Source organism: Homo sapiens, chromosome 7, assembly GCF_000001405.40.
Source record: "Homo sapiens chromosome 7, GRCh38.p14 Primary Assembly".
NCBI lineage: Eukaryota > Metazoa > Chordata > Mammalia > Primates > Hominidae > Homo > Homo sapiens.
The window spans coordinates 92037430-92054186 of NC_000007.14; the positions used below are offsets into that span (position 1 = coordinate 92037430).

General features: G+C 34.8%; 1 protein-coding gene across 2 annotated transcripts in view, besides 2 other annotated features; it reads left to right on the plus strand.

Annotated features, from left to right (window-relative positions):
- AKAP9 (A-kinase anchoring protein 9) overlaps nt 1-16757 on the plus strand; it is a 169812-nt gene that overhangs the window by 96568 nt on the left and 56487 nt on the right. For both annotated transcript variants that reach the window (NM_005751.5, NM_147185.3), the window contains exons 17-22: nt 990-1343; nt 3245-3469; nt 4617-4757; nt 5239-5342; nt 7579-7784; nt 15297-15529. In NM_005751.5, coding sequence (NP_005742.4) covers nt 990-1343; nt 3245-3469; nt 4617-4757; nt 5239-5342; nt 7579-7784; nt 15297-15529 — 1263 coding nt within the window. The remainder of the gene's footprint in view (nt 1-989; nt 1344-3244; nt 3470-4616; nt 4758-5238; nt 5343-7578; nt 7785-15296; nt 15530-16757) is intronic.
- Nucleotides 4606-4900: an enhancer, noted in NCBI's record as "tiled region #2641; HepG2 Activating DNase matched - State 5:Enh". NCBI's record gives its function as "activates a minimal TATA promoter and a strong SV40 promoter by Sharpr-MPRA in HepG2 cells {active_cell/tissue: HepG2}" and the evidence as "EXISTENCE:reporter gene assay evidence [ECO:0000049][PMID:27701403]".
- Nucleotides 4606-4900: a silencer, noted in NCBI's record as "tiled region #2641; K562 Repressive DNase unmatched - State 15:Elon". NCBI's record gives its function as "weakly represses a minimal TATA promoter and a strong SV40 promoter by Sharpr-MPRA in K562 cells {active_cell/tissue: K562}" and the evidence as "EXISTENCE:reporter gene assay evidence [ECO:0000049][PMID:27701403]".

The window sequence follows — 16757 nt, forward strand, 5'->3', positions numbered from 1 at the left end:
AGATCAGTAAATACAAATATTTCTAATCCCAGGCATACTTTATTCTGGGTTTATTACAGCCAGCCTTCTTTCATTATAAATTATCTATGGAAAAAGGACTTAAAGTTATTGATACGGTTGGTTCTCAAAGGTGTAGGGACTTGTCAGAGCCAAAACTGCTAGTCAGAATTCCTAAGTACCTGTGCTGGGGTGGGATGGGAGGCTAGAATAAGCAGGGATTCAGGATCATAGTTGTAGTGAAAGGTCAAATTGGATTATAATGAAATGTCTACTCATATTTACCAGTCATACAAACTAAGTGTTCCGCTTCTGGGAATTTGTTTTGAGGAAATAAGAAAAGATATGCACAATTATATAATTACAAATATTTCATCACACTGGTGTTTAAAATAGTAAAAGACTGGAATCACTCTAAATGTCCAATATAGAGAATTGATTTAATAAACTTATACTACATCTATGTAATATGAAACTTTGAACCCATTGGAAATTACATAGAAATGTATTTCTATTTCTTAACTTGAAGAGGTATTTACTATAGTTAAGCTACAAAAACTGGTTACAGTATTAGAATATGATCACGTTTTTATAGGAAAATTATATCTGTATCTATTCATATCTATCTCTGCAAAGAAGAATAAGAAGATTTGGGAAAGTATTCACTAAAATGTTTACATTGATTTTTCTTGGAAGAGAGAAATATAAGGGCTTTTATTTTCTAATTTTTACTGAACATTTATGTCTGTTATAATAAGAAAACATTTTACTTTTTATTTAAAGTGGCAGGCAGTAAAATAAATACTTTGACATTAGATTTATTGTAAAAAGAGAATCCATCTCGGTATTACTTTATTATAGGATTTCTTTTTGTTTAGAACCGTGAGGCCATGCTTTTTTCTGTTTATACAATTTTGAGTACTAATTTACTTTTTAAATTCCTGCTGATATTTCTAAATCTAATCCTTTATTGTTTGCTTTTATTTCTTTAGGTTATTGTGTCAATGAGTATAGCATTTGCTCAACAAACTGAACTGTCTAGAATATCTGGGGGAAAAGAAAATACTGCATCATCAAAGCAAGCACATGCTGTGTGTCAGCAAGAACAACATTATTTTAATGAAATGAAATTATCACAGGATCAAATTGGTTTTCAGACTTTTGAGACAGTGGATGTGAAATTTAAAGAAGAATTTAAACCACTTAGTAAAGAGTTAGGAGAACATGGAAAGGAAATTTTATTATCAAATAGTGATCCCCATGATATACCAGAATCAAAGGACTGTGTGCTGACTATTTCAGAAGAAATGTTCTCCAAAGATAAAACATTTATAGTTAGACAGTCTGTAAGTATGCCTCCTTGAATATAAAAAACTTATTTAAAAATTGTGAATTCTTTCACTTTAAAAATATTAGCAATAGTGCTGCTTAATGTTTGGAGGAGGAAAATATCAAATTCAGTCTTATGACTCACGTTGTTTTGTTTTGTTTTGTTTTTGAGGCTGAGTCTCACTCTGTCGCCAGGGTGGAGTGCAGTGGCATGATCTCGGCTCACTGCAACCTCCATCTCCCAGGTTCAGGCGATTCTCCTGCCTCAGCCTCCTGAGTAACTGGGACTCCATGCGCGTGCCACCACATCCAGCTAATTTTTGTATTTTTAGTAGAGACAGGATTTTACCATGTTGGACAGGATGGTCTCGATCTCTTGACCTTGTGATCTACCCTCCTCAGCCTCCCAAAGTGCTGGGATTACAGGCATGAGCCACCGTGCCCAGCCAGTTCACACTGTTAATGTGTTTTATTAATTGTAAGATATATGGATAAGTGACTTAATATTAGTATCAAATAAAACAAGTCTGGTTCATAGTATTCTTGTTTATCTTAAAGATGTTGTACCTGGTAAAATCCCATTGTAAGTTGTACGTACATTAATTCTGTTTCAACCAATTCAAGATTAATTATACTACAATTTGGTAATATCTGTGAATAAAAGATTTGCTTAATTAAATATAACAACATTAGAAGGAAATAGCTACCTATTTAGGAAGACTAAAAGATTTTACTATCTATATCCTAATTCTTGATTTATGTACTTATTTATTAATAGAAGATCCATTCTGTGTCTGTACCTCAACTGTTCACTGCCTTTAACAGAAAGTAATAAATCCTACTTCTTTTAACATTATCTGAATTAAAATTTTTTATTAATATTCAGGATAGGTTATGTTTTGTTCAGACTAATATTCAAGTAAAATTGCCAACTCCAGGCCGAGTGTGGTGGCTCATGCCTGTAATCCCAGCACTTTGGGAGGCCGAGGCAGGTGGATCACTTGAGGTCAGGAGTTCGAGACCAGCTTAGCCAACATGGTAAAACCCCCTCTCTACTAAAAATACAAAAATTAGCTGGGCATGGCAGTACATGCCTGTAATCCCAGCTACTTGGGAGGCTGAGGCAGAGGAATCACTTGAACTGGGGAGATGAAGGTTGCAGTGAGCCAAGGTGGTGCCACTGCACTCCAGCCTGGGTGACACCAAGACTCCCTCTCAAAAATAAATAAAATAAAATTGCCAACTCTTTATGGAATGCAAAACTTGTTAGGTGTTCTTCAAGACCTCTTTAATTTACCAGCAACTGTTCAAAGCAAAATTATTTGTATAAGTAACATTCCTCCAGGAAATGATGTACTCGTAGAACATATTAAGGAGTTGACTTCTTATGAGTGTGAGACTCTGGAATGTAAAGCTTTTATCTTCAAATAAAATGTATTGAAAATTATTTTTTATCAGTAGTTCTCTGTAGTACTGTGATAACCACTGTGTAAATTAAATGGGTAGTTTCTCATGTTTCATACATTTAATTTTAAAATATAAATATTCCATGGATATTATTTTCCCTTCATAAAATGTCAAGAGGAATAATGGCATTATAGCTTCGTTAAGAGTAGAAGGAATCTTAAGTATCTTAGTTCTTTTTTTTCTATTAGAATTAGATTAAGTCTAAACTAATTGATAAATAGCTGTTTTGCTTTTGGAAAATAATGATAAAGTAGCTTTATGTTGTTTTAGAGTTGTAATTAAGAAAAACACCATTTTAAAAATTATGTTTTTGTTTAATAATAAAATATCACATGCTTTATGGGATAAGGAATAGAATTGCTTTCGTATTTGTTTACAATATTAATGCTGACAGATTTTTACAAAATGTGTTATGGTTGAATTGTTTTTTTTTTTTTTTTTACTATTAAAGATTCATGATGAGATTTCAGTGTCAAGCATGGATGCTTCTAGACAACTAATGTTGAATGAAGAACAGTTGGAAGATATGAGACAGGAACTTGTACGACAATACCAAGAACATCAACAGGCAACGGAATTGTTAAGGCAAGCACATATGCGGCAAATGGAGAGACAGCGAGAAGACCAGGAACAGCTACAAGAAGAGATTAAGAGACTTAATAGACAATTAGCCCAGGTAAGGGTCTTGTAGTCCCCTTTCTCTCCCCAGTTATTTTTTTTTCCAAACACCAACTTGAACCAGATCCCCAATTAAAACAACAGTATTTTTTATGTAGCCATAATTTTTTTTTTTTTTTGCCGAAATCTGAATAAACTACATATATTTAGCATCAGGAACACACTCTATACTAAGACAGCAGCTTTAGATCTTGTTAGGGACACCTATCTCAACCTTGGAGTGGGCATTGTCTTTCTGTCATTTTATTTAACTCCTTTTTCAAGCACTGGAAAAGTGGCTACACGGTTTTGTTTTTTTCTTTTAAATCATTCCATTAGCCATATATAGCAAACTCACTTTGACATTTTGGAAATAACATTGTGCTGAGGTGCTCCATTATGCAGTTACTATCATTCAGTTTTACTATCTTCATTTATAGTTTTGTGAGTCCACCAATTAGCATCTCGAAGGTTTACCTTTATCTGTCTTTAATCCATCTTTTTAATCATGAATGGAAATCGGAAGTAGTATGCTTCTGAAACTCTTTCCAGGGAAACATCTCTTCTTGATTTGAGAAATGCAAATTTATTTAACATTCTTATCCCTTTCTTGACTAAATTTAAATACTTCTTGGTATTTGGGAGCTGGATTCTTGTCAACTGCTGTATAAAATATACTCACAAAACCATTGCAGAAAAGCAAGAAATATTTATGTAGAAGTTCTTATGAAAACTTATTGAATTTAATTTTGAAAACTGAAGCTAAGAGAGATAATAAATATCTAGAGATAACTATTAACAGTATTCTTTCAAACATAAAATAATAAGATAATTGGGAGCTGAGCATAAAACATTATTTGGAAAAATTAACTTTGCTTTTCTTCATTGCATTTTGTGAATTCAAACTTCTTAATTTTCAATGCAAAATTGACAAAAATTAATTGAACTGCACAAATTCCTGAATATATAGACTTAATTGGCTTTTAAAAAATATTTTAAATTTTGCATTGATCTTTGTATATACTTTTAACCCCTTACGATGGAATATGAATCATAAGTAGAACCAGGGCCTGTTGGTCCCGGGGGTTAAAAGAAATCTGCTTAATATTTCTACCCTTTTTCTCTATCACAAACAGTATTCTTTCATGACCTTTTTTCTTATTTAGAGATCCTCCATAGATAATGAAAACCTGGTTTCAGAGAGAGAGAGGGTGCTTTTAGAGGAGCTGGAAGCACTAAAGCAGCTGTCTTTAGCTGGAAGAGAGAAGCTGTGTTGTGAGCTGCGCAACAGCAGTACGCAAACACAGGTAGTATGGACTTTGCCCCACCTAGGAGCAATGGATCACCAATTCAGTAGGATTTGTTTGTCTTTGTTGTTGGTATGAGATGTATTCTTTTATAGGTACTGAGCTTAACATATTTGTGACTGCATGTGTGTAAGGTAGGTGGAGTCAAAATGCCTTACATTTCATTTAAGGTAATTTGAATCTGACATTCTGTTAACAGCAAGTATTGTTTCACCAAAGAGAACCTAACAAACTTTATTGTTGCACTACAGCATGGATAATTTGAACCCATTAAAATTTTTTATTTGTGTACGAGAATGTTTTATCCTCTTTTGATAACACTAATCTCGAGTGTAGTTAAATATTATACCAACCAGTATCAATTTTGTGCACAGAGGTTTCTATTTTATCTCATACCAATATAGAAGAATGACATGCTGTTTCCAAGTTGACAGGTTTTCTTTCTGTCTTCTCCTCTCTTCCTTTACACAAACTTAAACAGAATGGAAATGAAAACCAAGGAGAAGTTGAAGAACAAACATTTAAAGAAAAGGAATTAGACAGAAAACCTGAAGATGTGCCTCCTGAGATTTTGTCTAATGAAAGGTATACAAAATGTGTACTTTTTCAGTGCAAAGTAAATTAAAATGGTTGTTTCAATGTAATAGACTTTGTCCTTATTTTTATCTTGTACATTGATACTTTGTCTTAAAAATCATCATACCATCTGTGTATGAAACATGTCCATGTATGTGTAGTATGTAAAGGATTTTCAGTTTTTCATCATTAAATAGATAACATTTTAAAAAAATCTTTTCTATATAAATTTTGATTGGATATTAATCACATACTTAACTGTTAATCACCTGATGTTAGCAAAACTTTTCCTTACTTTGATTTTGTAGAGGTTAATATAAAAATGTGAAATATTAAGTGAGAATAGTTATCCTACATTAGTATTAAAGACTTTAAGCACAATATTTTAAACTTTGTTTTGTTCAAATGAAAATAATTTCTTTAATTTTAAATTAAAACTAATATTTACTTCTTAATTTCCTCCTTTTCCAATTTCTGTGACTGTCAACCCTCTTGTGTCCTCCTAACCTCCTTCCTCAGCTTGCATGGAGGAATTTGGCCCCTAAGATTTTGGCTTCCCCATTGGATCATCAGTATGGAACGCAGTCAGTATGGAACTCAAACAAGAAAGACAGTGTATGAAAATTAGAGTTACCACGGCAATATAAAATAAACACTTTGTTTATTTTATATTATTTATCTCTAATTGGTAAATTTTGAAAACTATGCAGTATTTAATTTCTAGGAATTTTTATAGTAAGTGCCAATAAAATGAGTATTTTTTTTTAACCACCATATTAATTTTAATCATTTCTCTTAAGTAGAAATATTTTCACATTATTCTAGTTCTGGGGTTTGGGGCTTAAACAAAACCTCAGAACAAGTTAAGGAAATAAAACCCTTGGCTTCCTACTAAATTAGTTTAGTTTTATTTTTAGTATTCTTGATTATATAAGCAGAGAACTTGATCTAGGTGCAAAAATAGAACCGTCTCTTTCACTTGACAAATACTAACGGAAAACTTCTCCATTTATTATCTTGTCTTAAAATAGATATGTCATGTGCCTGTGAAACAGGTATCCTTTAGCCTGATTTTTGGCAAGCTCCTACAGTGTGAAGCTAAAAGATAAAACTGTCTTAAGGCAGAAGACCTTTACCATGAAAATCTTTTATTTTGTCTGCATGTATAAAGTGTGCCTTTGTTGAACTGAGTTGCTAGGACAAGAGAGTTGTTTAGTTTTTAAGAAAATTAATCAGGCAGTCTTCTGAATCACCATTTATGGAAGTAGCTTTCTTTGCATGGTAGAATGTTCATGTTAAGCAAAAAAGAGAGTGTACAAAAACACTTTGTTCGGGATGATCTCATTTTTGTTTTTAAAATACGTATATATTTATAAGAGAGGCAGGAGGAAAAGTCTAGAAATACAGGCATTAAAATTGTAATAGTGATTGCTGAGGTTTTTTGGTGAGTGGTTAGCAGTATTTTCCAAATTTTTTAAAATAAGGATTACTTTTTAAAAAGAGAGACACACCAAATTCATTCTAGTTGAAAACAGGTTTCTTCTGCCGACTTAAATGAGTGTGGTGAGTGTAACTTGAGAAATTTCTGTCCCTGGAGCAGATGTAATAAAAACGGCCTATGATACTCTCTGTGGTGTTGACAGATAGTGAAATTTCATTACAGACCTTTTTAAAAACACATCGCTGCCTAACTATTACTTTTTGTAATTTAAACATTCAGCTCATTACCATTAACTTGTACAAATACTACCACATAATTTTTTCTGGTGTGATTTTAAAATTATGTTTCAAAATATGTTTTTATGTTTAACATATAGAAAGATTTAAATGTGCAAAATACATATGTATAACCATGGGCAGCAAGCTCAATAACTTGCATATGCTTTGGCACTACCATACTTTTTAAAACTTAAATTTTGTCTCCCAAGATTTTCTCTTAACCTAGTTACTGGCTTAAGACTTTAGTTATTTTTTTCAAGTCAATTAAATACCGTACATTTTAAAAAATGGTATGATTAAGCTAATTGGCCAAAATTTTTCAGACAAAAACAAATCATTTTATAATATAGTTACAAATAAAAAACAAGAAGCACTTTATTGTAGATGCTATTGGGTATTTTAATAAAAAGGATCATCTGTTATTTTTCAAATCAAATATTTTGCAGTGTACTTTTTAGTGGACATAAGCAAAGTGTTTGCTTCAAAAATATTAAACATTTTAATCAGTGCTTCTTTATCTATACAGGTATGCACTCCAGAAAGCTAATAATAGACTTTTGAAGATCCTCTTAGAAGTTGTAAAGACAACAGCAGCTGTTGAAGAAACAATTGGTCGCCATGTCCTTGGGATTCTAGATAGATCTAGTAAAAGCCAGTCATCTGCCAGCCTAATTTGGAGGTCAGAAGCAGAGGCATCTGTAAAGTCATGTGTCCATGAGGAACATACAAGAGGTACTAGTTTTCTGTGTTGTGGAAACAATCATTTCAACAAATCTGCTGAGTTCAAGGCATTTTGCCATGTGTTGAAAATATAGAAGAGAAAATAAGTATTTTCCAGCAAATGGACCTTCAAACAGAAATACATTAGAGCAACTCTTTTCAAACACCATTATTGTATAGCATTTGCAAGTGGGTATCATAGAGTTGTCATTATATTTACCCAGGGTTGCCACAGTGCCTACATAAACCAGAATGCTGTTACATTTCTCCACCGATAAAAGAAAATTTATATATCAGCACTTAGTACTCTTACCAGTATCTGTGAGGTATGGATGACATCCTGAAACCATCCTATAGATTAAGGAAAGATTAGAAATAAAGACTTTTTAGGAACCCAGCACCAGCTTCATGTACCTGTTGAAATGGTTAGAAGAAAGTCTTGATAAGAAACCCAAGATTTGGTGTTACCTTTGGACTGTCCTTTGCTAGATTCTTTCTTCCTTTTGAAAAAGTGAGTTGAAATATTACACAATGTGTATGGATCCAGAGATTAGGTCCTGATATGCCAGAGCTGTCTTCGTAACTCTGTCTTCCTTCAGCTGTGTGGATTCAGCTCTTCTTTCCGTTTCTTTTTTTTTTTTTTTTTTTTTGAGACAGAGTCTTGCTCTGTCGCCCAGGCTGGAGTGCAGTGGCGCAGTCTGGGCTCACTGCAACCTCTGTCTCCCGGGTTCAAGCAATTCTCCTGCCTCAGCCTCTCAACTAGCTGGGACTACAGGTGCATGCCACCATGCCCAGCTAATTTTTGTATTTTTAGTAGAGACAGGATTTTACCCTGTTAGCCAGGCTGGTCTTGAATTCCTGACCTCAGGTGATCTCCCTGGTTTGGCCTCCCAAAGTGCTAGGATTACAGGCGTGAGCCACCATGCCCGGCCTCTTCTTTCTATTTCTTCCCATCACATTGCTGAACTCCATTGTCTCTTGTTTTTTCAATTTCTTTTTCCTTGTAGGAGAGGGAAATGAGGAAATCAAAAGAGGGGAAAAGTTTTGTGAGATGGAGAAACATAGGATGTGGACTCCTGGCTCACAAGATCAAGCCCACAGTTCACTACCATTCCACACTCAAGCACTTCTCCCATAGAGGCAGACCTAAAATGCCAGTTTTTGTAATTTTTGAGAGAATTCTGTTTGTTAAATTTCATGTGGAGAAATGAAAAGAAATTATCCCATTTATGGAAGGTTTGCCTAATTATAAGTTGGCCAGTAGTGTGTTTCTAGGTACAGAGAAAAGCTTGATTTGGAATTGCAAATAAAACTGATTTTTAAACACCTTAGCTGAGTTCAAAGATAGTTTTAAAAATTGTTTTTAGTAAATTAAGAGCTGAAATAATACTGAATTTTAAACCTTGCTTTCAAATTCACTCTTTTCAAACTTGGTGGAAGGATTTTTCAAATTAACTTCACTCTTGGTTAAGCTCTCAGTCACGGCTATTTTATTTCTGCATATGGATCTTTATAGAGAAGAATTAGGTAACATTTTCTTGGTCTGATAAAAGTGTTTATCAAATTATGCTTTTTAAAAAACAATTATTTCACAAGCTTGTTTCACTTAACCATTTAGGGAGGGATTTTGCTGTTCTGCTGGTAAGACCTAGACCAGGTTGACTGCCATATTCAGAAGAGACTCTGAGAATGTTCTGTGCATTACAGATGTATTTTGTGCTTTTGTTGTTGTTGTTAGCAGTTCTCTTAGATACTTCTCAACATGGCTGCCAAAGTATTCAGCAGACAACATACCTTGAAAGACAGTGAACTTACTTCCAGAGCACTGTCTCCATAAAAGGGAATAAATGGATAATTTAACTCAAGCACAGAGGATTATATTTATGTTCATTTTCCATGAGAAAGCAGACCTAAAAAGACTTCTGATCCACTAGCCTATTTTCTTGCATAAGTGTATCTAAATCTTCCAACACACATGAAATATGTATATCCTATTTTAAGATACAGTAATGGTTTTCTTTCCTTTTTTTTTTCCTTTTGAGTCTCGCTCTGTCACCTAGGCTGGAGAGCAGTGGCGCAATCTCTGCTTACTGCAACCTCCACCTCCTGGGTTCAAGCCATTCTCCTGCTGCAGCCTCCCAAGTAGCTGGGATTACAGGTGCCTGCCACCATGCCTGGCTAATATTTTTGTATTTTTAGTAGAGACAGGGTTTCACTATGTTAGCCAGGCTGGTTTCGAACTCCTGACCTCAAGTGATCCACCAACCTCGGCCTCCCAAAGTGCTAGAATTACAGGCGTGAGCCACTGCGACTGACCATAGTTTTCAATTATAAGCAATTTTATGAGTTTAATTCTGCAGACATTTACTGAGCTATTTCTCTATGCTCTCAGCTTTACAGCAATTCATAGTCTAATGAAGAAGTCATTGCTATTCTGATTCAAAGCAAAATAGAGTCATAATATTTAATATTTTGCCTAAAACCACTACGTATATTTGAATCAACTAAAACCTTTAAAATTTTAGTTATTTAACTGTTGACCGATTCTGAAAGAATAATATTGAGATAAGAGAAAAAGCTAAATCCACAGTTAAGAAATATAGTGTATAGAATATTGTAGCAGAGATAATTTTGCTAGGATTAGTATCATTGGTTACATTTACTTTCCATTTAGTTAACTCCATCTTACTGTTTTTATGTTTAGCAGCAGTGTGATCATCTTACTAATAAAATTGGAGCAACCACTAATATTACTGGGGGACAGTTAATGGATCCATCTTGCATCTTTAAGGATATATTGAGTTAATAGAATTTATAATTTAAAATTTTTAATTTTTATATAAACCTGAAAGAAAATACTGGCTTTAAAATATTAACACTGTGTTCCATATGTAAGAATTTTTTCTGACATTCCTTCATAAATATAATGGGAGCATTATTTTTAAAAATGAAAAACTTTTGACAGTTTTATGTTTTTTAGTATAACAAAAAAATTAAACCAGTCTAATTGCGAAGCAACTTTTGCTTTTCAGTTTTCATATATGACTTTTTGTTGTAACACTTCTGATGTGTTTTCAGCCTTCAGGTCTGAACTTGTTTCGATTTTAAACATGTATGGACTTGTTAACACTCAAAAAGTAAAGAATAAAGTTGCTAATATTTGCTTCCTCATAAGAGTAACCTAGTTTATGAAATTGAAGGGAAATTTTGAGCTAACATAAAATCACTTAAACCTGAATGAATATTAGATCAGTTCATAAAAATGAATTCCCCAGGTTGTGTTGAAAAAAAAATTTCCTTTAGGTCTTCACTGTGATGATTCAGTGGTTTTATGCTCACCTCTCCCATAGGAGGCCAGGGATGGAATCTTGTCTGCTGCTGCCTCCTTTTGGAGAAATGCTGTCTTATAGAAGGAATGCTAGGGGCTGAGAGTCATGGCTCATGCCTGTAATCCCAACACTTTGGGAGGCCAAGGCGGGCAGATCACCTGAAGTCAGGAGTTCAAGACCAGCCTGGCCAACATGGTGAAACCCCGTCTCTACTAAAAATATGAAAATTAGCCAGGTGTGGCGGCACATACCTGTAATCCCAGCTATTCGTGAGGCTGAAGCAAGAGAATGCTTGAACCCAGGAGGTGGAGGTTGCAGTGAGCCGAGATCACACCACTGCACTAATCAGAAGGCCTTGTTTTCTTTTTTTCTAGTTCATTGTGATATTGGGCAAACCTCTTAAGTCTCCCAGGGCTTCAGTACAGTTTTCTCAACTGTCAGATCCAGGGTCAGACTAAAGCCTAGTGGTTTCCATTGGAGCCATTAGAGATTCAGAGAGCCTTTGGGGCAGAGAAGGCTTTATCACATTGCCTATCCCACTTAAACCTGAGGAGTTTATCGTTACCTGTCAGGGAATGAACATGATATAATCCATAAAGTTAATAACTAAAGGACTTGAATAACCATCATTTACTATGTTTTAAGACATAAATCCAAGAGGTTCACCAATTTGAAATGATTCTATTTACCAAACTGGATGTTCTAAGATTATTATTGGCATCTTGTGAAGTTCCCCTGCTAATCTATATTATCCTCTGAATTTTTCCCTCCAAGACTGGTTATTAAAAATAAAGTTTAGGGCCAGGCACAGTGGCTCACACCTGTAATCGCAGCACTTTGGGAGGCTGAGGTGGGTGGATCACACGGTCAGGAGATCGAGACCGTCCTGGCTAACATGGTGAAACCCCATCTCTACTAAAAATACAAAAAATTAGCCAGGCGTGGTGGTGGGCGCCTGTAGTCCCAGCTACTTGGGAGGCTAAGGCAAGAGAATGACGTGAACCCCGGAGGCGGAGCTTTCAGTGAGCGGAGATCCAGCTACTGCACTCCAGCCTGGGCGACAGAGTGAGACTCCATCTCAAAAAAAATAATAATAATAAAATAAATAAATAAATAAAGTTTAAGCTTGATGTCTTTCTCATATTTCTATTTTATAGGATTTTTTTAAATTTGGTTTTTTCTTGGAACATATTCAGATTATTTCAGATTGTTTATACTTTCAAAATGTTATTAAGAAAATACCTTAAGCTAGGTGACGTCTTTGCCTTTTCTAGGTACTTTAATGTCTATTTTTAAAAATTAGCCATTTGGCTTAAAAAAGCCAGAGGCCTTTTATAAGTCACTTTCACGCACCCTCTTTATTTTGTGCTTGAGATTTGCTCCCATCTAATACACCATACCTTCAATCTTTTCCTCATGTTGATTCCTTCTCTATAGCCCAAAACATTAGACTGTCTTCATACTGCCTTAAAAATTTAAGAAGTGTTGAATTTTCTCACCTTTGTTCCCTGCTCAAGGTAAATTTCAGCAAACTTTTTTTTTTTTTTTTTTTGAGACGGAGTTTTGCTCTATCGCCCAGGCGGGAGTGCAGTAGTGCAATCTTGGCTCACTGCAACCTCCACCTCCTGGATTCCAGTGATCCTCCTGCCTCAGCCTCCCAAGTAGCTGGAACTACAGGCACGTGCCACCATGGCCAGCTAATTTTTGTATTTTTGTAATTTTTTTTTTTGTATTTTTGTATTTTTTAGTAGAGATGGAGTTTCACCATATTAGCCAGGCTGGTCTTGAACTCCTGACCTCGTGATCCACCTGCCTCGGCCTCCCAAAGTGCTGGGATTACAGGCATGAGCCACCGTGCCCAGCTGATTTGACAACTGGGAGGTCAGTGTTGTCCTCTGAGAGAGCAGCTTTGGTACTGCAGGAATAGAAATCAAGGCTGGTAAACACAGGAGTCTCCATAGCATCTTCCCAGTCGTTGTCTTGTTTGTCTTTCTAGACAAATAACATTACTAAAGTGTCTTGAAGCCGTCTCTTTTTGTCTGTTGGAACATCTCTCTCCTGCCTCTCTCTGATATTTTTTAACACAGGTTCTTTTGTTAGATTATGATATACAGAGACTTCAACTTTGTCTTCCTTCTCTCACTGAGTATTACTCCTAGGACAAATGTATCTACTTCCAAGGTTTCAACTCTCACCTTTCTACAAATGACTCCTAAGTCATTGCAGACCCAAAATTCCAACAGTTGACTCATCTTCACAAATCCCATTAACACTTCAGACTAATCATTTTTCATCCCTACTCTGTATACTTTTTCCTGATTTTTTAGTATTTTTCTTAATGATTTCTCTGTCACCTAAGAATCATCTAAGCTGGAAGCCCAGAGTCATCTTACGCATATCTTCTTTCCTTGTCTTCTTCTACATTGTCTTCTCCAACCTGTGCTTTCTCAATTTTTTCTCCTTTAACTTACCTCTGCATTGCTACAATTTGCTTCCTGATGCACATATTTGATATTATCTTCTTATTCAAAATATGATTTACTCTTTCCATTTGTTTATAGCAAAACCCCTAAGGTTCCTATAAAATTTAAGACCATTTACAACTTGAATCCAGCTTACTTTCCAGCTACCTTCTTTTAGCTCTCTCACCTACCTCACCACTATTTCTCCATGTCCCTTTGCCCTAAAAAGCCTAGAGTTCCCATCGTATCACACTGTTCCCTTTGCGTCACATTTCTGTACCCATGAGAAAGAAAATGTTACTAGAATGCATTTAATTTCTCACATAAAGATGCTGTAAATTCCAAGATTATCTTGCACTTCTAAATGTTTTCAAGGCATTCAATTTTGAGCACATGGAGTAATATAAATAAGTACCAGTGTAGCTGATGTGTTTTTTACTTTGGAGAATAAGGATACAAAGTGAAAGTTGTATTTACTGTTACCTTAAGAATTAGATAAACCTGTATATAATGGGAAACATTTAAAATCATGCCTTAAAATGCAATTTTGGGCTCTACAGCCAGTGACTTACAAAGAGGACATGCTTAGTGAATATTGAATTGTGCTGAATTCAGGTCTTGCGTCTGAAGCTGTATCTGATGTCATTACTACATAGATTAAGAAAATGTGGCACCAGCTACTTTAGCAAGACAAGTTCTAATAAGTAGCTCTTATTTTGAGTGAATGTGTCAAACTGAATGCTTATTCCAAGCACTTGGTACATGAAGATTTCCTCTGCTTTAATTGGTTAACTTTGTACAGTTACTGATAACAAATATGTACTACATGTAATAAAAGAATAGGTAATGCCTCTTCAGGAAACTTCACTGTTGAGTTGTAACATCTGCCACAAAGGAGTATTTAATGGCAGTGGTGAATAGCCTATGCTTTTATTATAGCTTAGAGAAAATACTTGGAAAGCTTATCTTCTACCCATGCAAACTCATTTTTTTTTAACATAAGAAATAAGAATAGTGTGGGTAATGTGGATAACAATGTCCAAAGTTAAATTAGACCTGCTCATCAGTCTAATCTTATCCCAGTATTCCTCTTAAAACAGTAGCAAGCAACAAAATGATCTCAGTTCCTTTTACTGTGTAGCCAAAGCAGATGATATTGCCCAGTGTTGGATCAAAAGTTAGTCATCACCAGATAAATTCAAGCACTTATTTCTATCCTGTACTCCCAATGTAGGCTCAAAAGTCAGTCTGCTCCCGAAAAATCCAAGCACTTATTTCTATCCCTCTGTACAATTTGAAATGGCCTACTCCACAATGCCTTTCTTTTCTTGTGATTGTTTATGTGTTTCCTCATTACATTGTAAAGTCGTCAAGGGTTGGAGCCAGATCTTGTCACCTATATGTCCCTATTACTTAGCAAACTCCACATAGTGGACATGTAGTAAATTTCTGTTGAAAGGTATCTTAGAAGTTTTTATCAAAGAAAAAAATACTGAATTACCCACATGATCAATTTCTGCAAATTCCTATTAGCATAACATTTCTCATTCTTTTGCTTGGTTATTGAATAATATTATATCCTATATTTGCATATTTTATTTGTTTGGTTGCAATATTGTTTTAAAAGACCTTACAATTTCCATGATTTCCAGTTTAGTTTGATGTTGTTTTATAACTTTAAAAAATTATGATTATTATAATTAATTTATGCCTTTAAAACACTGTTATTCTAGTTACAGATGAATCCATTCCCTCTTATTCTGGAAGTGATATGCCAAGAAATGACATTAACATGTGGTCAAAAGTAACTGAGGAAGGAACAGAGCTGTCACAACGACTTGTGAGGAGTGGTTTTGCTGGAACTGAAATAGACCCTGAAAATGAAGAACTTATGCTGAACATTAGCTCTCGACTACAAGCAGCAGTTGAAAAACTCCTAGAAGCCATAAGTGAAACTAGCAGTCAGGTAACCTCCTTATATTGCTAATATGTACTGAGTTTGAAGTACAATATACTATCCCACTCTCTCGACTGAGCTAATTTTGATATTTTCATGGATAGCTGTTTGGCATTTTCAAAGCTTGAATGCATATGCATCTTAATTATCCCTTTGGTTGTATGAAAGTTGTATAGTATAAATGATTCTATACTGAATTCCTACATGATCCTGCTTTTGTTTTGTTTTGGTTTTTGCTTATTTCAGGTATATTAGTATTTAATTTTTGTGATTTGTACTTTCATATATGAAAACAACTGTTAATACTTTTTGTTTCTTAACCGCTATTAAGTACTTTTGACCTGGATCTCAGCCAGTGTTAATGCTGTTGCTACTACTTGATACCATTGTAAATTATAAGCAGTTTAGTTAATGCAACATAGTATTTGTCTTTTGATAAGCAACGTGAAAAATGTTAAATAAATCAGAAGTGGTCAGTGGTTCCAATAGGCTACTTGTTCTTAACAGGCTACTAGAGAGAAACTTCTCCAAAATTTGTTAATGCTGCCAACAGTCAAGCATGTGGGCTCCTCCTGAAACATTCATTTCCCCAGGCCAAGACCACAGCTCATAGCAGCTGTCTGCTTATGTGACCAGGTAGTGAAGTATAGTAGGAGTCTGACCATGGCATTTTCCAGATTTTTCCCAATTTGTTGAATACTAACTCCACGCTGTGTTATTTAGCTTCTTCTGTATTGTGGTAATTTAAATATCACTGAATGGATCACAAAAGCTTTGTGTAGAGCAGTAACCCTATGGCAGAGACTTCTCAAAGTGCAGCCCCTAACCAGCAATATCAGCATCACCTGGTGATGTGTTCAATATATAAATTCTTAGGCCCCACCCCAGACCTACTGAAACTGAGGGCCCAGCAACCTGTGTTTTTAATAAGTCCTTTATATGATTCTGATTCACACTAAAGTTTGAGAACCACTAATCTGTGGATTATTAGTACAATGTTCACATTGTTCTCTGGCTTAATTTTGAAGCACTCTACTAACATCTTTTATATAAAATGTTAAACTAGTTGTTGGCATTAGGTATAAAAAGTTATAAAAATGAAGTATTTCTTAAGTGAATAATATTTTTCAGCATTGGGAGTAGGCGTTTTTAAAAACTTTCTTTTAAATGAATTTCAGCTCAGTTTTTAATCTTCCATGGATAGATGTTTAAAGCCATTGATTTCTTCAGAATAGTC